Below are 24297 nucleotides of genomic sequence, written 5' to 3'. Positions count from 1 at the left end.
ATATTCCTGCCAATAATGCATAACCAGAATGTAATCAAGGGGAAGTATCAGACAAACCCAGACTGAAGGACATTCTACAAAATAATTTACCGATAATCTTCAACTACGTTACTGTCATGAAGGATAAAAAAAGGCTGGGGAAAGAACGACATGGTATCTATATCATGATCCTGGACTGGATTCTGTAACAGAGGAGAAAAATAATACTAAAGGGCATCATTGGAAAAACTGGTAAAACTGGAATTTGTATTGTTGATTAAATAAAAGTATCATATCAATGTTAAATTTAATGAACTTGATAACTGTACAAGGGTTTTTATCATTGTTCTTAGGAATATACATTAAAGTATTAAATACTGGCAGAGTGCAGTGGTACTCCCAAAATCCCAGAACTTTGGGAGGTTGAGCTGGGTGGATTACTTGAGGTCAGAAGTTTGAGACCAGTCTGGCCAACATGGCGAAACCCCATCTCTACTACAAACACAAAAAAATTAGCCAAGAGTGGTAGCACGTGCCTGTAATCCCAGCTACTCAGGACGCTGAGGTACAAGAATCACTTGAATCTGGGAGGCAGAGGTTGCAGTGAGCCGAGATCACACTACTGCACTCCAACCTAGGTGACAAAGCGAGACCCTGTCTCAAAATAAAATAAAATAAAATAAAATAAAATAAATATTAATGGGGCATGGTATGTGCAACCTACTTGTGAATGGTTCAGGAAAAAATAAGTATGTATGTACAAGAGAGAAAGAAAAAAAATAAAACAAAGGTGGAAATGTTCAGAACCTCAGTGAAGCTACATAAAGGGTGTATGAGAGTTCTCTGCATGATTCCTGCAACTTTTCTTTAAGTTTGAAATTATTTCAAAACAAAAAGTTAAAAACAATCAGTGATAAATATTCACATATATATGGACTGTAATAAAAATGGTAATAAATGCGTGTAAAAGGAGACACTTCAAAAATATACCTTTCCAATACAGGAATGCATATCTTACCCCTGTAGTTGCCACAGGAAGTGGATTGGCGGTGTAAAGACTTCTTTTTCCATCATAAACTGGTCTACGGTCTCCAAATATAGTTACTTTAAAATGCTGAACCATTGAGTCAACCACCTCCCTAAAGAAGGGAAACAATATATTCACATAATCCTCTGTAAGATGAAATATAAAAATATTAACAGAAGTAATTTCTGCCACTGTATAAAGCTGTCAAAATTCTAAAAAATATTCATATATGATAAAGATTTTGCTTTTAGAATCTTGGCTTAAGACACCAAAAAGATTGATTATTGCCAAAAGATGACATACATTTCACTAGACAGAGAAGAATGAAGCGAGCATATTACTTAATCATTCCAGGATACATCTGACCTGCAAAATATTCTTAGAAAGTGATTCAAAATCTCTTTTACCATCTCTAAGCACTCCCTAACATATTAACTTCTTTCTCCAAGAGTAATCTTTCCTCTGTACCAAGAAGACACCTAGTACATATCTCTATTAGGACACTTTGTCTATTATAATGATTATATATTTTCAATTCTTCTAACTGTGAGCCTCCTGAGAGCAGCAAACATACCTGTGTTCCTTTCTCCTCCCATCCTTACAGTACCTAGCTAGTAAGGATATTATAAAACCTCCATTTTTACCCAGCAAACATCTGAGCCAATGTAACTGACACAGAAAGATATTCAATACTTATATATTCAAAACTTACAGACTATATAGGAAATACCAAATTTTCACAAATCAATACGTATTTTTTGTACACACATTTGTAAAAGCAGAGAAACTGAAAGGATATATTCCAAATGGTGGTTACCTCTAGAGAGGGAAGTGACAGGATTACAGGGTCACTTTTATTTTGTTTATAAAATCTAAATATATTACAATGAGAATGTACTCACATAGTATTGATATAATCTAAAACTAATTTAAAAGATTCAAGGCCAGGCACAGTGGCTTACGCCTGTAATCCCAGCACTTTGGGAGGCCAAGGCAGGTGGATCACCTGAGGTCGGGAGTTTGAGACCACCCTGACCAACATGGAGAAACCCTGTCTCTACTAAAAATTCAAAATTAGCCGGGTACAGTGGCGCATGCCTGTAGTCTCAGCTACTTGGGAGGCTGAGGCAGGAGAATTGCTTGAACCCAGAAGGCAGAGGTTGTGGTGAGCCGAGATCACGCCATTGAACTCCAGCCTGGGCAACAAGAGCAAAACTCTGTCTCAAAAAAAAAAAAAAAAAAAAAAGAGAGATTCAAGTCTACCTCAGTTAAGTGGGGGCAAGAACCCAGCATTTTCTGGAACAATAAAAACATCAAGCTGACTGGATACCCAGAGCGATTTTCTACATGGCACAAAGTTTCTATTTTTTCCCTCCCTTTTCAATTTTGTTTTACTGAAACTACTGAAAACAGTATCAAGCCTCTTCTAGAGTAAATTTTACAACAAAAATTTGATTCACCTATTCATTTTTTAGTTCAAAGCAAATTTCAATGATTCTCTGCCATTTTAAGTTTTCCTTTGTGGCCACTATTACTAAATCTGGTTTCTTTCTTTTTCTTTTTTTTTTTTTTTTTTTGAGACAGCGTCTTGCTCTGTCACGCAGGATGGAGTGCAGTGGTGCGATCTCGGCTCACTGCTACCTCCGCCTCCCAGGTTCCAGCAATTCTCCTGCCTCAGCCTCCCAAGTAGCTGAGATTACAGGCATGCACCATCACGTCCAGCTAAGTTTTGTATTTTTAGTAGAGACAGGGTTTCACCATGTTGGCCAGGCTGGTCTCGAACTCCTGACCTGGTGATCCGCCCGCCTCGGCCTCCTAAAGTGCTGGGATTAGAGGCATGAGCCACTGCGCCCAGCCAAAATCTGGTTTCTTAGGTGAAATTTTACAGATCTAATTTGTTGGGATGTTTTAACCATTTTGTCATTTTTTTTTTTAACTCAACAGTAAACTGGTATAATTTCAACCTTACGAATTCTGGGAAACCCAATCAAATCACTCTAAGGATCAAAATGGAGGAGACTGAAATACCAGGGCCAAAACATCTTAGGAATAAAAAATATCCTGCTTTAACTTAAACAGAGTTACAAGAAAAAAAAAACCCATTAACAAGTGGGCAAATGACATGAACAGACACTTCAAAAGAAGACATACATGCAGCCAACAAGCATATGAAAAAATGCTCAATATTATTGATCATTAGAGAAATACGAATCAAAACCACAATGAGATACCATCTCATGCCAGTCAGAATGGCTACTATTAAAAAGTCAAAAAATAACAGACGTTGGCAAGGTTGTGGAGAAAATGGAATGTTTATACACTGTTGGTGAGAGTGTAAATTAGTTCAACCATTGTGGAAAGCAGTGTGGCAATTCCTCAAAGACGTAAAAAGAGAACTACCATTTAACCCAGCAATCCCATTACTAGGTATATATCCAAAGAAATATAAATTGTTCTATCATAAAGACACATGCATGTGTATGTTCACTGCAGCACTATTCACAATAGCAAAGACATGGAATCAACCTAAATGCCCATCAATGGTACACTGGATAAAGAAAATGTGGTACATATACACCATGGAATACTATGCAGTCATAAAAAAGAACAAGATCATGTACTCTGCAGAACATGTATGGAGCTAGAGGCCGTTATCCTTAGCAAACTAACACAGGAATAGAAACCCAAATACTGCATGCTCTCACTTAATAAGTGGGAGCTAAATGATGAGAACATATGGACCCATAGAGGAGAACTATAGACACTGGGGTCTACCAGAGGGTAGAGGGTAGGAGGAGGGAGAGTATCAGGAAAAATAACTAATGGGTACTAGGCTTAATACCTGGGTGACAATAAACCCATGACACAAATTTACCTATATAACAAACCTGTACATATACCTCTGAACTTAAATACATATATATGTTCATATATAAATGTATACTTATATATCAAAGCAGGATATATACATACACATATACAATTTTTGCTACAATTTTGGCAAAATATATATATATATCCTGCTTTGATGCCTAACACATAGTATATCCTCAATAAATGCTCTAACAGTGAATAACTACCTCAGTGAAATGCTGGAACTTCCAATGGAATATATCTAGAGCTGAATTCAACACATCTTGTCAGAGTTACATGTGGTTATCTTCTGTTTGCTACTCCTCTTTAATTAATAGTATCTCCATCTTCCCAGTTACCCAGATTCAAAACTTGGCTCATCTCTTCACCCAACTGGTTGTTGACACCACGTCTTTGCAGTATTTCTTATACTAGTCCTTTACTTTCCATTCCCGATTACCACAATCCTAAAGAAAAGCCTCATGTCCTTGTACCTGGATTATTTTAAGTTTTTCTTTTTTATGTTCATAGTTTTTTTTTTACTCCAACCCAATTTACATTCACTGTTAAATAATTTCCCAAGCCCCATTTTTATTCCTTGGGTACAAAAAATTTAATCATACTCCTCAGTTCATGGTGTGTTATCATCATCTGTATAATATCCCTCTTCTAACTGATTTTCTTTCCATCTCCATTTCCTAACCCCATTCCCCTTCCCAAGAAGTTATTCTTCTAATTTGTTTGATGAACATTCTTCTATTTCTATGTATACCTACTTTTACCCTCTGCATTAGATGTTTTAAAACCTATTCACGTTGCTGTGGTATATTTATTATGGTATATTTATTTTTATTATTTTTAAAAGATTTATCTGTAAAAAATTGGTTGTATACAATTTCAGTGACTTGGTTCATTGTTTCTGATTGATGCAAAGTACTCCACATGTTGTCTATCCACTCCCCCAGCATTGCAGATTCACAGTATCTTTAATTGCAACACCCAAAAACAATGTTGAAATGAATTATCTCCTTACATGTCCCCTTATGAACCCATGTGAGAATTAATCTCTGCTTACAGACACAGAAACAGACTGTTAGGTCAAAATGAATCTTATCAAGTAAATGATGTACTGCCAAATTGTTCTCAAGAATGACTACACTAACCTGCACTCCTTGAGGCTCCTATTTCCCTGCGTCCAGCCAATATGTGGCATTATCCAGTTCTGCTTTCTAATTTTTGTTAGCCTAATCGGTATAAACTAAAAGCATGTTTTAATTTAGATTTCTCTTATTACTAATGAATTTGAGAACATCATCAAATTAAATTTCACCTTATGACTTCAAGCTTTTGAGGTATTAAGAAATACTTTCCTAATACAAAGTCAAAAAGATAAATTATGTTTTATTAACTTTACAGTTTTGTCTACATTTTTTGGTTCTTCTTTATAAACAGCAAGGACCCAATTTTATTTATCTCCATCTAGTGAGCAGGTTTCTTCATGCCACCTACTAAACGGCTTATACTTAACTAATCAATTTGTAATGGCATTTTTATCTCATTCACTTCCCATATATAAATCAATCTGAGTTCTCTATACTGTCCCAGTGTTCTGTTTGTCTGTTCTTGTGCCAGTACAAGATGTTTTCTTTCTTTCTCTTTTTTTTTTTTTTTGAGAGGGAGTCTCGCTCTGTCACCCAGGCTGGAGTGCAGTGGCGTGATCTCGGCTCACTGCAAGCTCCCCCTCCTGGGTTCACACTATTCTCCTGCCTCAGCCTCCCGAGTAGCTGGGACTACAGGCACCCGCCACCATGCCTGGCTAATTTTTTGTATTTTTAGTAGAGATGGGGTTTCACCGTGTTAGCCAGGATGGTCTCGATCTCCTGACCTCGTGATCCACCCGCCTTGGCCTCCCAAAGTGCTGGGATTACAGGTGTGAGCCACGGCGCCTGGCCAGTAACGTATGTTTTCACTAGAGTGTTTATTATGGGGCAGGGTAAGTTTCCCTACTTTTTCTAAGTATACTTGAACACTGGAATAATTTTCCACCTTAGAAAACTATCAATACCATATGGAAAGGAAACATATCTAGTGCCCTACATATAGTAAGTAATTAATAAATATCTGTTGGTTAAGAAACCTCTAACAACACATACTTGGAAGACATGACTAGCATGTTAAAAACATAAATTACTATGTTAAAAGCTACTAACAACTACAACAATGAACAAAATAAAGAAGAAACATAATAAGGGTAACTGTAATACCTAAACACTTAACGTCCAAACACTTCAACTGTAATAAGAACAAATTAGAGAATCTCAACTTACCCACTGCTGCTGTGGAAAAGGGTACAAGCCCCAAATGAGCTAACAGTATGATGTAGCTTCCTCAAAAGTAAAAAACTGAGGTTGCATATATTTAAGTACTCAGATAATCCACTTAATAAGGCAGGTAACTATCCCACCATATATTAAAACAGATCATTTTACATCTTGGAGTACTCTGTTCAATTTGTGAAAAATTTAAGACCCTAAAAATTCAAATATAATGAGAAGGAGGCAATCCTGATAGGAAATCATGTAATATGAGTAAAAATAAATCAAACCAAGTCTGGTTTGGAATAGGAAAGTCTTAGTCTGGAATAGGAAAAACTCAAAGAAAATTACAGAATAAGTTTTTGGCTATTTTGATAGATTGTCATGTGAAAAACTGAGTAGAAAGAACTAGGAAAAATAGTTGGAACATTAGACATTTTGGAACGAAATTTTCAGGATTTTCTAACCACCAGAGTTATTCAAAAGTAAATTACACTACCTTATAAAGTACCTGAGTTCATCTTTGCTAGAACTGTTCAAAGAGCAGCTATATGACCAACTGTCAGGGAAGATATAAATTTAAGATTAAAATGAAATATCCGCGATACCCTCTTATAGTAAAATTTAATTTAAAAAATACCAAACAATGGCCAGGCGCAGTGGCTCACACGTGTAATCCCACCACTTTGGGGGGCCGAGGCAGGCGGATCAAGAGGTCAGGAGATTGAGACCATCCTGGCTAACACGGTGAAACCCTGTCTCAACTAAAAATACAAAAAAAAAAAAAATTAGCAGGGCTTGGTGGCGGGTGCCCGTAGTCCCAGCTACTCGGGAGCCTGAGGCAGGAGAATGGTGTGAACCCGGGAGGTGGAGCTTGCAGTGAGCCAAGATCGCACCACTGCACTCCACCCTGGGCATCAGAGCGAGACTCCATCTCAAAAAAAAATAAAAATAAAAAAAAAAAAAGAAAAGAAACATTGTAAATTTTATCATGGTAAATCGTATCATGGCATTAGATATTACTTTTATGAATAATTACACTTACATTTGACAATTTAGTTCAGAGCCTTAAGGAAATAGCACTGGAATTCTATAGTATACGGGTCAATTTTTCCACTTGACAGTTTTTTAAGTTCATAACTGACAAAACCTATGCTACAAAGAGAGTCATCTTTCATGAGGGCCAAGAGTTATATTATTTTTTAACCTCTCACTAATATGACACAATTAATTCATATATTTAGAATTTTTTTTAAAGAGATGGGGTCTCACTATGTTGCCCATGCTGGTCTCCAACTCCTGGGTTCAAGCAATCCTCCTGTCTCAGCCTCCCAGAGTGTTGAGATTACATGTGTGAGCCACTGTGCCTGGCCAAATTCATATATTTAGAATTTTAGCGAAAAAAAAAAATTTTTTTTTGAGACCAGGTCTTGCTCTGTTGCCCAGACTTGAGTGCAGTGATGTGATCACAGTTCACTGTAACCTAAAACTCCTGAGTTCAAGTGATCCTCCTGCCTTAGCCTTCTGAGTAACTGGGAATATGGGCATCCAGCAGATTTTAGTATGCAAGCTAACAAAATGGCAAATCTAGGGACAGTAAATTCTCATTTCTTATCTCAAAGGATATTAGGGAAAAGGGTAGTTTATTAGAATCTTTAATAGGTAGGCATGTGGAGCTAGAGAAAAAACACTCTTTAGAACAGTAATTTATCTAGTTTCCTAAGCCATCTAGTCAGCTATAGTAGCAAAGGTGCTATTATATTACGATGAAACTTGGAATTGGGAAACTACCAACCTGAGAAACCTTTAAAATATATGATAATATAAGTACCGAAATAAGAAGGCATGAGTTTTTAGTCCCATTCTGTCACTAAGTTGTTAAGAAAGTTATTTAACTTCTCTGACTTGAGTTTCTTTATCAATAAAAATGAGATAACAGTCTCAGGAACCAAATGGAATATTAGTGAAAATAATTTGAAGATTAAAAAAACAAATATGTATAATAATATTTTTATATTAAAATTTAAGCATAATTATCTCACAAATATATTTTAAGAATTATACTGAAGTCTTCCAAATAACAAATGAATACACTACAATGTTTTAGCATCAAATATAGTAAATTAACACAAATAATGAATAATTCTGGTAATTAACATAAACTGATAACTGAGTTTCCTCTATATTTTATGACACTAGTCTTTTATTACAACAATAGGGTTAGGAGTGGAATCTTTTGTTCAAATACAGTACTTTTAGCAAAATATTTAAGTGTATATTGTTAAACAAGTTCTTAGCTTACCGTAAGTAGTAAAACTAGACTAATAAAAATACATAAAATATTTTAACTTCTAAAACAGTGCTTGGGAAAGTAATTTGGGAAATAAAATCTGAGTAAACACAGATAAGAATGTCTAACCAATCTTTAGTGGCTTCCTTTCACTAATAACCTTAGTCTGAGAAGAAAAGAATTCTTGCAGAATTATACTGTGATGCATTTTTTAGAACGTCACGTGAGAATTTAAGAATCCTTAAGAATAATTGGTAATAACTTCAAAAATGAAATCTACCTGAATACATTAGATCTTCTAAAGGGGTACAGCCTATCCTACCACCCTTACTTCAATCACTACTTCCTACATTCTGATACCAACTCTTTTGACTCCATCATGCTCTGGTGCACAGATTATAAAGTAAAATTTAATAATAATTTCATTAAGTCCCATTTTACCACCTGACTTATACAGCAGAAAAATGGGAAGAGAGAAACTTTAATGTAAAAAAGAGGAGAGCAAATTATTTTCCTGTGAGTTGTAATTACTATAAGCTTATAGAGATCCACCTCCATCTCACTTTATTAGGTACCTCTTAATTCTCTGCTCCCAAAAGACAGAATGAAAAATATTATTCTAGTCTACAGAAGACAACATGAAAGAATATTTTCCCCAAAAGTCTACTGACATTATCCATGGCTACAATAAATGAATGTGTCACTACAGTATAGACAGAAAGAAGATTGCTAAAGTATAACAAAATGTCAAAATCATCCAGAGGTTTATAAAACACAACTAAAACAGCTGGCAGTCTCTCTTTGTATCCTTCCAATCTCTAACTTATCTTTATTACTCTGTGGTTACTAGCAGAGAAGGTAGCCAATAAATACTTGTGCAACAAGATAAAGTTTAAGGTATGCAAAACAGAGAAGAGAGGGATTATATTTTAGATCTTTTTTCTTTTTTTTTTTTTGAGACAAGGTCTGGCTCTGATGCCCAGGCTGGAGCGCAGTGGTGCAATCTCAGCTCACAGCAACCTCTGCCTCAAGCCATTCTCCTGTCTCAACCTCCCGAGTAGCTGGGACTACAGGAGTGTGCCACCATGCCCAGCTAATTTTTGTATTTCTTGTAGAGACAGAGTTTCATCATGTTGCCCAGGCTGGTCTTGAACTCCTGAGATCAAGTGATCTGTCCACCTCAGCCTCCCAAAGTGCTGGGTAGAACAAAAATTTTTCTTTTTTTTTTATTATGGAGTCTTATTCTGTCGCCTAGACTGGAGTGCAGTGGTGTGATCTCGGCTCACTGCAACCTCCACCTCCTGGGTTCAAGTGATTCTTCAGACTCAGCCTCCTGGGTAGCTGGGATTACAAACGCGCACCACCATGCCTGGCTAATTTTTTTATTTTTAGTAGAAACGGGATTTCACCATGTTGGCCAGGCTGATCTCGAACTCCAGACCTTGTGATCCGCCCGCCTTGGCCTCCCAAAGTGCTGGGATTACAGGCGTGAGCCACCACGCCTGGCCAGGACAAATTTTTAATACTTTTTTCTTTTTTTAAAGATACAGATCTTGCTCTGTCACCCAGAGGATGGAGTGCAGTGGTGCAATCATGGCTCACTGCAGCCTCCAACTCCTGAAGTGAGCAATCCTCTCACCTCAGCCTCCTGAGTAGCTAGGACTATAGGTGTACACCATTATACCTGGCTAATCTTTAAATTTTTCATACAGAAGGGGTCTCCCTATGTTGCCCAGGCTGGCCTTGAAATTCTGGCCTCCAGCACTCCTCCTGCCTTGGCCTCCCAAAGTGCTGGAATTACAGGCCTCACATGTGCCACTGCACTTGGCCAAAATTTTAATAATTTGTAATATAAAATCGATACTGAGCATTTTTGTTTTTTTGAGATGGAATCACACTCTGTTGCCCAGGCTGGAGTGCAGTGGCACAATCTCTGCTCACTGCAACCTTCACCTCCCAGGTTCAAGCAATTCTCATGCCTCAGCCTCCCGAGTAGCTGGGATTACAAGCACGTGCCACCACGCCCAGCTAATTTTTGCATTTTTAGTAGAGACGGGGTTTCACCATGTTGGCCAGGCTGGTCTCAAACTCCTGACCTCAAGTGATCTGCCTGCGTCAGCCTCGCAAAGTGCTGGGATTACAGGCATGAGCCACTGAGCTCAGCTCATACAGAGCATTTCACTATACACTATGTTTGTAGTCATTTCATATGTGAATTATTTTTATCAGGCCACTGACTTCTTTTTTTTGTTTTTGAGACAGTCTCGCTCTGTCGCCCAGGCTGGAGTGCAGTGGTATGATCTCAGCTCACTGCAACCTTCACCTCCTGGGTATAAGCAATTCTCGTACCTCAGCCTCCCAAGTAATCCAAGCTGGGATTACAGGCATGTACCACGATGCCCAGCTAATTTTTGTATTTTTAGTAGAGATGGGGTTTCACCATGTTGGCCAGGCTGGTCTCAGACTCCTGGGTTCAAGTGATCTGCCCACCTTGGCCTCCCAAAGGGCTGAGATTACAGGCGTGAGCCACTGCACCAGGCTGGGCCACCAACTTCTTAACAACCATGTGTAATGGCGCATTTTCAGTCTCTATACGCCTGGCTTTGTTTAGCATTTGCCACTGTAATCAAACTTTGTTCCTTGAAAATCATGATCCTTAAGGCCAGGTGCAGTGGCTCATGCCTGTAATCCTAGCAACTTTGGGAGGCCGAGGTGGGCGGACTGCCTGAGCTCAGGAGTTTGAGACCAGCGTGGGCATCACAGTGAAACCCTATCTCTACTAAAAATACAAAAAAATTAGCCAGGCATGGTGGCATGCACCTGTAGTCCCAGCTACTCAGGAGGCTGAGACAGAATTGCTTGACCCTGGAAGGCGGAGGTTGCAGTCAGCCAAGATCACGTGATCATGTCACTGAATTCCAACCTGGGCGACAGAGCGAGACTCCCTCTCCAAAAGAAAAAAAAAAAAAAACAAAAAAAGAAAATCATGATCCTTACCTTGCCTTCTCTGAAATAGCTTCTACTTTGTCCTGGTTCTCCTATCTTTCCAATCCCTGTGTGTTTTCACTGGTAAACCTGAAATAATAGTATCTCAGAGATCTAGTCTCAGTTCTTTTATTTTTACATACTTCCCCAGTTTTTAACTATCACCTACATGCTGACGAATCACAATCTCCATTTTGACTTATCTCCTGACACTTAGCTAGACACTTATTTCCAATAACCTATTGAACTTCTGCCATTTTGATGTTTCTTATGCAATTCAACCTCCAAATATTCAAAATAGTATACAAAAACCTGGTCCCTTCAGAATCTATATTTCTGTTAAAACCATTACTAATGCACCAGCTAGGAACTATGAAGCCATTCTTATCTCTATCCTTTCCTTACATACCTAAATTGTTCATTCTTTTTCTAAATCTTCCATCTATGCCCTCCATCATCATTATTGCCACTGTGTCTTTGAACATATTACCTATAATCCAGAAAAATATGTACCAGAGGTGCCAAGGGGTATGCTGCAGTATGAGGAAAAATTAGACATATTTATATTTAATTTTCAGTGAACAATTAGGAATTAAGATTTACTAATATTCATGAGTATGGATTGATACTGGTGCCTTCAGTTATTCCACATTAGATGGTCAGGTGCAACACACGGTACACCAGGAATCCTAGGAGAGTAATGGGAGTTCTGCAACACATAAGAGTTAAGGTCTGACACAGTGGCTCACGCCTGTAATTCCAACACTTTGGGAAGTTGAGGTGGGCAGATCGCTTGAGACAAGGAGTTCAAGGCCAGCCTGGGCAACATGGCGAAATCCCATTTCTATAAAAAATACAAAAATTAGCCGGGCATGGTGGTATGTGCCTGTAGTCCCAGCTACTATGAAGGCTGAGGTGGGAGGATTGCTCGGGCCCAGGAGGGTGAGGCTGCAGTGAGCCATGTTCACGCCACTGCACTCCAGCCTGGGTGACAGAGTGAGACTCCTGTCTCAATTAAAAAAAAAAAAAAAAAGTTAACAGTGTACCTCTCGTTCATTCATTTTCAGCACACTGCAACTTTCTGTAGTTCAAGTGTGTGACACATATTCAGTCAGGGTTTTTTGTACCATTAATCTGAAAAGTTTAAGTTATTTAAATGTATTTTTAAATAGTTCATTTCAAAATTATCTTTCTCATCTTTTTCTACAGTTACATATTAAAACAGTAGTACACGCCAACAAATTATAGTTTTTGAAATGTGTGTGCATTTATATCTATATGTATTTTTTGGTCAAACAAATTTTAATTAATGGGGACGTGTGATCAATGGTTTGAAGACCGCTAACCTAGACTACTACAACAGCCTTCCAAATGTTCTCCAGGACTCAAGTCTTTCTCATCTCTCATTCACCACACTGTCATCAAGTATGGTCCTAAATACCGATATTCTTCATTTGTTTAAAAGGTTCTATTGGCTCTCTACTATTTCTGAATTCACAAGCCTTAGCACGGATTTCAGATTCTTCATAACCTACTCCCTAGCTAACTCTTCAGACTCATCTCTAGCTACTCTATTTATACTGGCCTGTTTCTGTTATACCAACATGTCATACCTTTGCTCATGCTGTCTATGTGGATTATTCTTTCTCCCTGTCCACTGGACAACTTCATGTTGTAGCATATATCAGCACAGGCAGGTGCTGCATAACTTTTCAGTCAATTACAGACCACATATATGATGGTGGTCCCATAAGATGATATATTTTTACTGTACCTTTTATGATACAATTATTTTGCTCAAATACCATGTGATACACCACATCCTCCTCCTTACCCAAAGGCAGGAATCATTACTCTTTCATCACAGTACATAATGTGCATATCACAGAATTTGTCACTCCATATGGAATTTAAAACTTTAAAGAGATCATGTTTTATCTATTGTATTATTGCTAGAACCTAGCACAGTGCCTGACACAAAACAGGAGTAAACAGTTAATGAAAACATAGAGAAGATTCAAAAATGATCTTTAAGTTTCCGTATATCCTGTAAATCTAGTACCAATAGCATAGTACTTTGGTATAAACATGTGGTAAGTTCAGATAAATGGTTTAAATAGATTTAAGTTAACCTAACAAACTGGAGCAGGTTAAAGTAAACAAATCAAGGTACATTCATATAATAGAACACTATACAGCTATTGTAATTTATATCTACACAAATAGATGTTGGTAATAATACCTTATGTACTAGTCCCTTGTGTGTAAATATTTGTTAATTTATGAAAGTATCTTCAAGTTTCAAATATATTATAGGAATATTAGTCAAAAGGCTAATTTCTACTTAGTATTGTATTTAGATGCCACTCTAAAAGAATTTTGAGATGTGAAATAATTACCATCTGTTAACTTTCCTATCTTCCAAGTGACTAAAAGGAAAATAAAACTTATTTATTAGCTGACATATTTTGTATAATAGTTTCCCCAAGATCACTAAACACTCAAAACTATACCATTTGGTTTTTACTGGTAGTGTTTTCTGAAGTATGTTGTCTAAATCATTTTAATATAGAACCCTTCTATAGATATGACAACAAAATCACAAGCGACAAAAGAAAAAATAAGTTAGACATCATCAAAATTTTAAAAGTTTGTGCTTCAAAGGACACCATCAAGACAATGAAGATGCAACATGTATAAACAGAGAAAAATTTTGCAACCATATATCTAATAAGGGACTTTTATCTAGAACATATAATGAACTCCTATGACTCAATAACAAAAAGACAAATGACCCAATTTAAAAATGGGCAGGCAGGCACAGTGGCTCATGCCTGTAACCCCAGCACTTTGGAAGGGTGAGGCGGGTGAATCACCTGAGGTCAGAGGTTCGAGACCAGCCTGGCCAATATAGTGAAACCCCATCTCTACTAAAAACTACAAAAATTAGCCAGGCATGGTGGTATGCTACTTGGGAGGCTGAGGCAGGAGAATCGCTTGAACCTGGGAGGTGGAAGTTGCAGTGAGCTAAGATCGTGCCACTGCACTCCAGCCTGGGCAATAGAGTAAGACTCTGTCTCAAAAAAAAAAAAAAAATTAGCAAAGGACCTAAATAGACATTTCTCCAAATAAAATATACAAATGACCAATAAATACATGAAAAATGTTCAACATCCGTCATCAGGAAAATGCAAGTCAAAACGACAATGAGATACAACTTCACATCCACTAGGATGAAAATAATTTTTAAAAAGACAAATAATAACATATTGGTGAGAATATGGGAAAACATCTTCATACACTGCTAGTGGGAATGTAAAATGGTGCAGACACTGCCTTCTTTTTTTTTTTCTTTTTAGTAGAAATGATGTCTTGCTACATTGCTCAGGCTGGTCTTGAATTCCTGGACTCAAGTGATCCTTTCACCTCAGCATCCCAAAGTGTTGGGATTACAGGCATGAGCCACCATGTCTGGCTGGTGCAGCCACTTTGGAAAAGAGTCTGGCAGTTTCTCAAAAGGTTAAATATAGAGTTATCATATGATATCACTCTTAGGTATATATCCAACATAAATGAAAATGTATGTCCACACAAAATCCTGTACATGAATGTTTATAGCAGCATTATTTGTAGTAGTCAAAAATGGCAACAACCCAAATGTCCATCAAATGATGGATAAACAAAATGTATTATATCCATACAATGGAATATTATTCAGCAATAAAAAGGAATAAAGTACAGTTATGCATCACTTAACGATGGGGATATGTTCCAGGAAATGCATTATCATTTTGTTGTGTGAACATCATAGAATGTGCTTACACATACCTAGATAGTAGAGCCTACTACACATCTAAGCCATATACACATCTAAGCTATATGGTATGGCTTATTACTCCTGGGCTACAAACCTGTACATCACATTACTATACTGAATACTGTAGGCAACTGTAATACAGTGGTATTTGTGTATCTAAACATAAAAAGGTACAGTAAAAATACGGTATTATAATCTTATGGGACCACCATCATACATGTGGTCTGTAATTCACTGAAAAGTTATGCAGTGCCTGAATATACTGATACATGCTACAACATGAATGAACCTTGAAATCATTATGCAAAAAGAAGCCAGTCACAAAAGGCCACATGGTATATGATTCCATTTATAAGAAATATCCGGCCGGATGCAGTGGCTCACCCCTGTAATCCTAGCATTTTGGGAGGCCGAGGTAGGCAGATCATTTGAAGTCAGGAGTTTGAGACCAGCTGGGCCAACATGGTGAAATCCCACCTCTACTAAAAATACAAAAATTAGCCAGGCATGGTGGCAGGCGCCTGTAGTCCCAGCTACTTGGGAGGCTGAGGAGAACTGCTTGAACTCAGGAGGCAGAGGTTGCAGTGAGCCGCGATCGCGCCACTGCACTCTAGCCTAGGTGACAGAGCGAGACTCTGTCAAAAAAAAAAAAAAAAAAGAAAGAAAGAAAGAAAGAAAGAAAGAAAGAAAGAAAGACCGACCCAGAACCGACAATCTACAGAGAAAGAAAGTAGATTAGTGGTTGGCAAGGACTGTGGGGAGGGACTAATGGGCAGTGACTGCTAATGAGTATGGGGTTTCTTTTTGAGAGGATGAAATGTTCTAAAATTACATTGAAGTGACGGCTGTACATCCTCTCTGGCAATATACTAAAAACCACTGAGGTGTACATTTTAAAATGGGTGACTTATGGCATGTAAATTATATATCCATCAAGTTATTCAAAATGAAATATGCCCCCTCTTGGCATACTATCCAACTATAACACCATAAAAATGACATTCCTAACAGCAGAAAAGAAGTTTCTTTAAACACATTGCTGCTCTGAGATTTCCACTTAAAAAGCCAAAATTGGATCAATATAGATTTACTTTTTTCTTTCTAAAATTCAATCATCTGTCTGGGTGCAGTGGCTCAAACCTATAATCCCAGCACTTTGAAAGGCCAAGGTGGGTGGATGTCTTGAGCCCATGAGTTTGAGACCAGCCTGGGCAACATAGCTAAACTCTGTCTCTACAAAAAGTAGAAAAATTAGCCAGGCATGCTCCTGGTCTCAGCTACTCAGGATGCTGAGGTGGGAGGATTGCTTGAGCCCAGGGAGGTCAAGGCTGCAGTGAACTGTGATCGTACCACTGCACTCCAGCCTGGGTGACAGAGCGAGATCCTGTTTCAAAATAAATAAATAAAATAAAAATCATCAGCATTAAACATTATATCAATATGAAATATGCAGAAATATTTGGCATGTTATTAATCATCATAGAATATTAACAGTAACAGTAGTAAAAATGATGTTTCATTTGTAAAAGAAAACTGAGCCAAAAAAATGCAACCACAGCTGGGTGTGGTGGCTCACGCCTGTGATCCCAGCACTTCGGGAAGCCGAGGTGGGTGGATCACCTGAGGTCAGGAGTTCGAGACCAGCCTGATCAACATGGCGAAACCCCGACTCCACTAAAAATACAAACGCTAGCTGGGCATGGGTGCCTGTAATCCCAACTACTCGGGAGGCTGAGGCAGGAGAATTGCTTGAACCCAGGAGGCGGAGGTTGCAGTGAGCTGAGAATGTGCCATTGCACTCCAGCCTGGGCAACAGAGTAAGACTCTGTCTAAAAAATAAATAAATAAAATAAAAATGCAACCACAATCTACTACTATTTTAAGATTCCTTCAAATTTTTATTCATGTTTTAAAATAGATATTGCAGTTATAATCATGTTGTATACATAATTTTTAACATGTATCTATTCCATTATTTAATGGTTTTGAATAAATACATATACTATCTATTCAAGGTGTATTTAGAGGTTGGACAAACTAGCATAAAATCTCAAGTTACAGAATGTATACTCTAGGTCATAATGTTTCTAAAAAATATTTGTTTTTTAGTCATTGAGACCATTCACCTATTAGAAACTAGTAACATTTGAAATATACTTAACATACATACTCTTTTAACAAAAGCTAACATTCAATCAAAATCATTTAATAGGGGGAAAAGAAGGAAGGAAAGAATCTCCTTCCCCAACTTGGCCCCCCAACACAAAACGGGGTGAGGAAAGGACAAAAAAAGCAATGGACAGAAAATCTAAAGAATAAATTTGTAGAAAGGTTGACCCACAAAATGATTCACTAGCATTTCCTGGATATTGTGTCTAAGAAGACTCCAACTAAAGTGGCAATTGTTTGGCTATAATACATCTTTCTACTATTATGATTAATGCCTTAGTGCCAAATATTTGTTCATGTGGCATATGGACAAGAAAAATTTCATGCACGATAATTTAAGTATTAAAACATTTAAGTCACTTAGAGGAGAATCACTATGACTTTATAGAAGGCAACAATATAATTTTTTTTTTTTTTTGAGACGGAGTCTTACTCTGTTGCCAGGCTAGAGTGCAGTGGCACGACGTCGGCTCACTGCAACCTCTGCCTTCTGGGTTCAAGCAATTCTCCTGCCTCAGTCTCCCGAGTAGCTGGGATTACAGGCGCCCGCCATCACATGCAGCTAATTTTTGTACTTTTAGTAGAGACGGGGTTTCACCATGTTGGCCAGGATGGTCTCGATCTCCTGACCTCGTGATCCACTCGCCTCAGCCTCCCAAAGTGCTGGGATTACAGGCGTGAGCTACCATGCCTGGCCAATATAAATCTTTAATAAGAAACGAAATAAGGCTGGCCATGGTGGCTCATGCCTGTAATCCCAGCACTTTGGGAGGATCACTTGAGCTCAGGAGTTCAAAACCAGCCTGGGCAACATAGGGAGAACTCGTCTCCTGCAAATAAAAATTTTAAAAAATGATCTTGGTGTGGTGGTGCCTGTAGTCCCAGCTACTCAGGAGGCTTAAGTGGAAGGATCACTTGAGTCCAGGAGGTTGAGAACACAGTGTGCTATGATTGTGCCACTGCATTCCAGAGCCTGGGAGACAGATTGAGACCCTGACTTTTAAAAAAGGAAATAAAACAATTTGTTTTGTTTTAATATTTTGAATAAGTTAAATTAGACATAACTGAACCACTGCATTTTGTCCCTTAACTGTTTTGCTAATATTGAAAAGGAATTGTTAAGTTCTATCTAGTTCCTTCTAACGCCTAGAATTCCAGTTGTTGAAGCACAGGAACTGAGCCACCACATCAATTTCAGAAGACCACCAAGTTTCAACTGACTAGTCATGCAGTAATACTGTAAAAACTGAAGACAAAAGCAAGTCAGCTGAAGAAAACGGAATAAGTTTTGCAGATGTTGACATTAAATCAAAGCAATATTATTAACAAAGTATAAAGCTGATTTATATGATTTTTAGAATCCCAAACAAGTCCTACAGTTCCTATAAAAACTTGGGCCGGGTGCGGTAGCTCACGCCTGTAATCCCAGCACTTTGGGAGGCCGGGGCAGGCAGATCACCTGAGGTTGGGAATTCGAGACCAGACTGACCAACATGGAGAAACCTCATCTCTACTAATAATACAAAATTAGCTGGGCATGATGGCACATGCCTGTAATTCCAGCTACTCGGGAGGCTGAGGCAGGAGAATTGCTTGAACCCAGGAGATGGAGGCTGCAATGAGCCGAGATCGTGCCATTGCATACCAGCCTGGGCAACAAGAGCAAAACTCCATCTCAAAAAAATAAATAAATAAAATAATAATAAAATAAATAAAAACTCAAAAACATGATAAAAATGACTAAAATTTTACATCACAAAAATTTAAAAACTTTCCACTTGGAAACATTTAAATTACAAATCTAAATTATTGGTACTGTCAAAAAAATGTAAGATAAAGCAACCTAAAGATGTAATGTAATTAAGGATGTCAAAAGAATCGTAAGTTAAAACCAGAATGCACCACACCAATTTATGACACATATTTTTCTCACAAACTTAATACATTGAGCATATACACATGAAATTCTATGCTACACAACTTTATATACACATATATAATTACACATATATAATACACAAATTTTCCTTTACCCACACCCTACCAAAAAATAAAACAAAAATGTTAGGCAGGAGAAAGAATAAATCTAATAAACAATTCTGTTCCGGCCGGGCACAGTGGCTCACGCCTGTAATCCCAGCACTTTGGGAGGCCGGCGGTGGGGTGGGGGCGGGGGGGGACCACAAGGTCAGGAGTTCAAGACCAGCCTGGGCCAACATGGAGAAACCCAGTCTCTACTAAAAATACAAAAAATTAGCTGGTCATGGTGGCAGGTGCCTATAATCCCAACTACTCGGGAGGCTGAGGCAGGAGAATTGCTTGAACCTAGGAGGCAGAGGTTGCAGTGAGCGGAAATCGCGCCATTGCACTCCAGCCTGGGCAACAGGGAGAGACTCTGTTGCAAAAAAAAAAAAAAAAAAATTCTGTTCCTTTTACTTAATATTTTTGCCACCATATCATTTCCTTGTAACTCATCTGGCATACTAAAAAAACTTGAATTGACATCCCTCAAGCCCCAGATCTTTACTTAGATTAACTAATGCCTTTTTATTTTTATTTATTTATTTTTTAGATATGTGGTCTCACTATGTTGCCCCGGCTGGAGTGCAGTGGCTGTTCACAGGCACAATCACAACACACTGCAGCCTTAACTCCTGGGCTTAAGTAATCCTCCTGCCTCAGCCTTCAGAGTAGCTGGGACTACAGGCCCATGGCTCAGCTAATAAATGCCTTTTTAAAGTGTAAATATCTACCAGAAGGGTCAGGATTATCCTTCACTCAAATCTATACATTAATGAACCAGTTTTGAGAAACAAGAAAAAGGGAATCTCTATGAGAGTACAGCATGAGTCAGTTAAGTCCCCATAAGTGGATGACGGCTCACAGAAAGACATAAAAGAGAGTGAAGGAAGACCAAAACCAAGACTAGCCTAAGATCCTAGGAGATAAGAGTACGGCACTGAAAAACCCATGTTCAGGAAAACAGCCCTCTAGAACATCCAGTTTTCTTTCCTGTCCCCCACCATCACACTCATGCCATTTTATAAACATTTCATTCACTTTACTGAGTATTATGTGCCAATCACTGAGCTGACATGGGGTGACAAAGATGATAAAAAACACTACTTTTCATGAAGGGGTTATACTGGAGAAAGGGAGAAAAATAACCACAATGCACTAAAAACACCACAATGGAAGTGTACATCAAGTACTACGAGGTCACAGAAGAGTAGGGCACTACTCTTTTGACTTGTGTTGTTCACTTTAGGAACATTTGGGTGTCAATCTGAAGTTTAGGAAAGAGGTAGAGGCTACAGCAAGATTAGGAGTCATCTATTCAACAGATAGTATCTTAAAGCAGTATCTGATAACATGTTAAAAAAAAAACCACCTATAGGAATGTTGTAATTAACATGTAATGCAAAGAACCTTCCCCTTAAGCCTGGTTCAGACTCAATACACCTGGTTCTTCTCAACCGTTATGCTTTTGTTACTGCTATCCTTCCTTCAAAAATAAATAAATAAATAAATAAATAAAATTATATGTATGTTATTTTTACTACAGCTAACCAAAATTTTACCAATTGTTTTAGATTAACTTCTTCCTTTACAAAATACTTCCTAATGACTACCAAGTCAGGATTCTGGAGTTCTGGTTTCACCTTTCCTACTTGAAACATGTGTTCTTGACTAAATCCCTTAACCTTTCTGGATTTCAGCTATAAATAAAAAAGGTATTGGATTAGTTAACTTCTTAAGAGGTTCCTTTCAACTGTAACACTCTACGAGTCTTCCTGACCTCACAAAGAACTCTGCATTACATGTTAATTACAACATTCTTAGAGGTGTTGTTGTTTTTAACGTGTTATCACAAAGTCTTTTAGTGCTCATTCACTTTCAGGTATAACAGAAATACTAACAATTAGGATGACAAGTCCAAGAAAAAGACCTTCATACTTCTTACATGTCTTATTTCCTCTACCAAATTACAAATTTCTTGAGAGAAACAACATTCTTTTTCTTAAATGTCTTAAATGAAGACTCTTAATAACATTTAATGAATAAGAAGAGGCTGGGATCATAGAAACCAAAATGCTAAACTGAATATCACATTTTTTTAAAATGTGTTGTCTTTGTTTTTAAAAACAAAATCCAAATAGACATAGTATATATCCAATCATAAATTCCTCTTATATTTCCTGTATTACCGAAACCACATCCAAGAATATAAATGGCATTTGGGGGAGGCGAGAGGAAGCTTACTGAAAGCAGGCTGATAAATCTTTATATACCATCTGTACTTATTCCTATATAATGGTAAGAAACAGTTGGGAATTGGGAAAGGAGAAAAGAAAGCATGAAACCAGTATTTCTACCCCCAACTGCTATCATCACCACCGTCATCTTAAAGGGAACATTATGAAAGTGGTACATAAGAGAGGTGAGGAGAAAAAAGCAAGCATGGACATATTACCTAACAGCAAGGAAAATGATGTGCTCATGATGTGCAGCCTGATTTCAGGAGCATGTAAAAATAACTTGAACCTTTTCTATTATCACAGGGAAAATGTGAGCTCGTGTTATAACAAAATAATTTCAAAGATTTTTTCCCCACTATCACACCCCTGAAGTACAATCAGTTTTAAAACAAATTACCAGATGTTTTTGGTCAAACTGTTACACATTGTAATTGTTATTCAGATATACAAAATAAACATGGATAATTACTAAGGAAAAAAATAGCAAAAGATCTTTGCAGTTTCATGATTCTTACCTGTTCACTCTCCTAGGACACTTGTCTGGTTTAATATCTACCTCATAGAGGTAGACATCAATCTTTGGGATTTCAACTTGAAAACAGTTAGCCAGCAGTTTAATGGGTTTGCCCATGGTGCCATAGCCAGGTCTTCTGGGCACCATGAGTAGGGGCTGGGCCCCAGCGGGTCCTGCCAGGGGAAAGGGAAAAAAAAAGAGTCACAGTTACAAGCTGTATTCCAAAGCCTTGTCAACCAGAGTATATTAGAATTATAAGTACAGCTGATAATGGCTAAAACCTAGTTCTGCAAGATGACATCATTTCTAACACTTCAACTTCTGTCACCCCAGATTTCCTCTCTTCATTAAAAATAAACACAGAAAACCGTATGCCTCTGGAAAACTGTTCTGGAAAGGGCAGAGAGAAGGAAGAACAATCACACAAACCAAGCTGACCATGAGCAAGCACAAGTCAGACCTAAAGAGTGTGAGACCAATAGCAAAGTAAAGTTAAAGAAAGTAGAAGAAAGGGCAGGGCATGGTGGCTCATGCCTGGAATCCTAGTGCTTTAGGAGGCCAAGGTAGGAGGATCACTTGAGCTATGATAGTAACACGACGCTCCAGACTCAGTGCCAGAGAGAGAACTTGTCTCTATTTAAAAAAAAAAAAGAAAAGAAAAGAAAAGAGTAAAATAAGAAGCAATATGTAATAAAAAAGAATCAAGAAAGTACAGAATCAATTATTTGATTATTTGACAAGGTAAGTATCTCAGGCCAAGCATGGCAGCTCACACCTGTAATCCCAGCACTTTGGGACTCTGGGAGGCCAAAGCAGGTGGATCGCCTGAGCTCAGGAGTTTGAGACCACCATGGGCAACAAGGCAAAACCCCATCTCTACCAAAAATACAAAAAATTAGCTGAGTGTGGTGGTGCACACCTGTGGTCCCAGCTACACAGGAGGCTGAGGTGGGAGAATGGCTTGAGCCTGTGAGGCAGAGTTTGCAATGCGCCAAGATTATGCACTCCAGTCTGGGTGACAGAGTGAGACCCCGTAACAAAAAAACAAAAAAAGATAAGTGGGCTGGGTGCAGTGCCTCACGTCTGCAATCCCAGGACTTTGGGAGGCCAAAGCGGGCAGATCACCTGAGGTTGGGAGTTCAAGACCAGCCTGGCCAACATGGTGAAACCCTGTCTCTATTTAAAAAAATACAAAAATTAGCCAGGCATGGTGGTGCAGGCCTGTAGTTCCAGCTACTTAGCAGGCTGAGGCACCACTGCACTTCAGCCTGGGCAACAGAGTGAGGCTCTGTCTTACCAAAAAAAAAAAAAAAAAAAAAAGTAAATAAAATTGATAAAATCTAGGCAACACTGATTTCTTTTAAAAAGGAGGAAAAGGGCTTAACTAATAACAGAAGTGAAAAAAAGTCACTACAGCTACTGAAGACATTACATTGTGTCAATAAATTTGACAGTTTGATGAAACAGACAAATTCCTAGAGAAATAAAACTTACTGATACACTAAAGTACTATATAGCCAGGCACAGCATCTTGTGCCTGTAATCCCAGACACTCAGGAGGCTTAGGAGCTTAGGAGTTTGAGACTAGCCTGGGCAAAATGGCAAGACCCTGTCTTAAAAAAAAAAAAGTATTATTCATCAAATTTGAAAAGTCCTCTGTTGGTGGAACTATAAAATGGTACACTCACTTTGAAAAACAGTATGATGGTTCCTCAAAAAATGAAAAACAGAATTGCCATGTGATCTAGCAATTCTACTTCTGGGTATACACTCAAAAGAAGTGAAAGCAGAAAGAACTGATTGAAGAGTTATTTGTACACCCTAAGTACCCACTGATAGATGAATGAATAAACAAAATGTGGTATATACATACAATGAAATATTATTCAGCCTTAAAAAAGAAATTCTGACACACACTAAAACATGATTAACTTTGAAGATATTATGTTAAGTGAAATAAGACAGGCCGGGCATGGTGGCTCACACCTGTAATCCCAGCACTTTGGGAGGCCGAGGTGGGCAGACTGCTTGGGCTCAGGAGTTTAAGACCAGCCTGGGCAACATGGTAAAACCCCGTTTGTATCTACCA

General features: G+C 38.1%; 1 protein-coding gene across 5 annotated transcripts in view; it reads right to left on the bottom strand.

Annotated features, from left to right (window-relative positions):
• Positions 1-24297, bottom strand: part of AGO3 (argonaute RISC catalytic component 3) — a 141783-nt gene that overhangs the window by 104428 nt on the left and 13058 nt on the right. For 4 of the 5 annotated variants that reach the window (XM_017000523.3, XM_005270575.5, NM_024852.4 and 1 more), the window contains 2 exons: positions 22210-22381; positions 998-1118 (listed from right to left, as the gene is read on the bottom strand). In XM_017000523.3, the coding sequence (XP_016856012.1) occupies positions 998-1118; positions 22210-22381 (293 nt within the window). The remainder of the gene's footprint in view (positions 1-997; positions 1119-22209; positions 22382-24297) is intronic. The other variant, NM_177422.3, reaches the window with a different exon arrangement.

Source organism: Homo sapiens, chromosome 1, assembly GCF_000001405.40.
Source record: "Homo sapiens chromosome 1, GRCh38.p14 Primary Assembly".
Classification (NCBI taxonomy): Eukaryota; Metazoa; Chordata; class Mammalia; order Primates; family Hominidae; genus Homo; species Homo sapiens.
The sequence above is the reverse complement of the archived record's forward strand: the minus strand, read 5'-3'. Positions and strand labels throughout refer to the sequence as shown.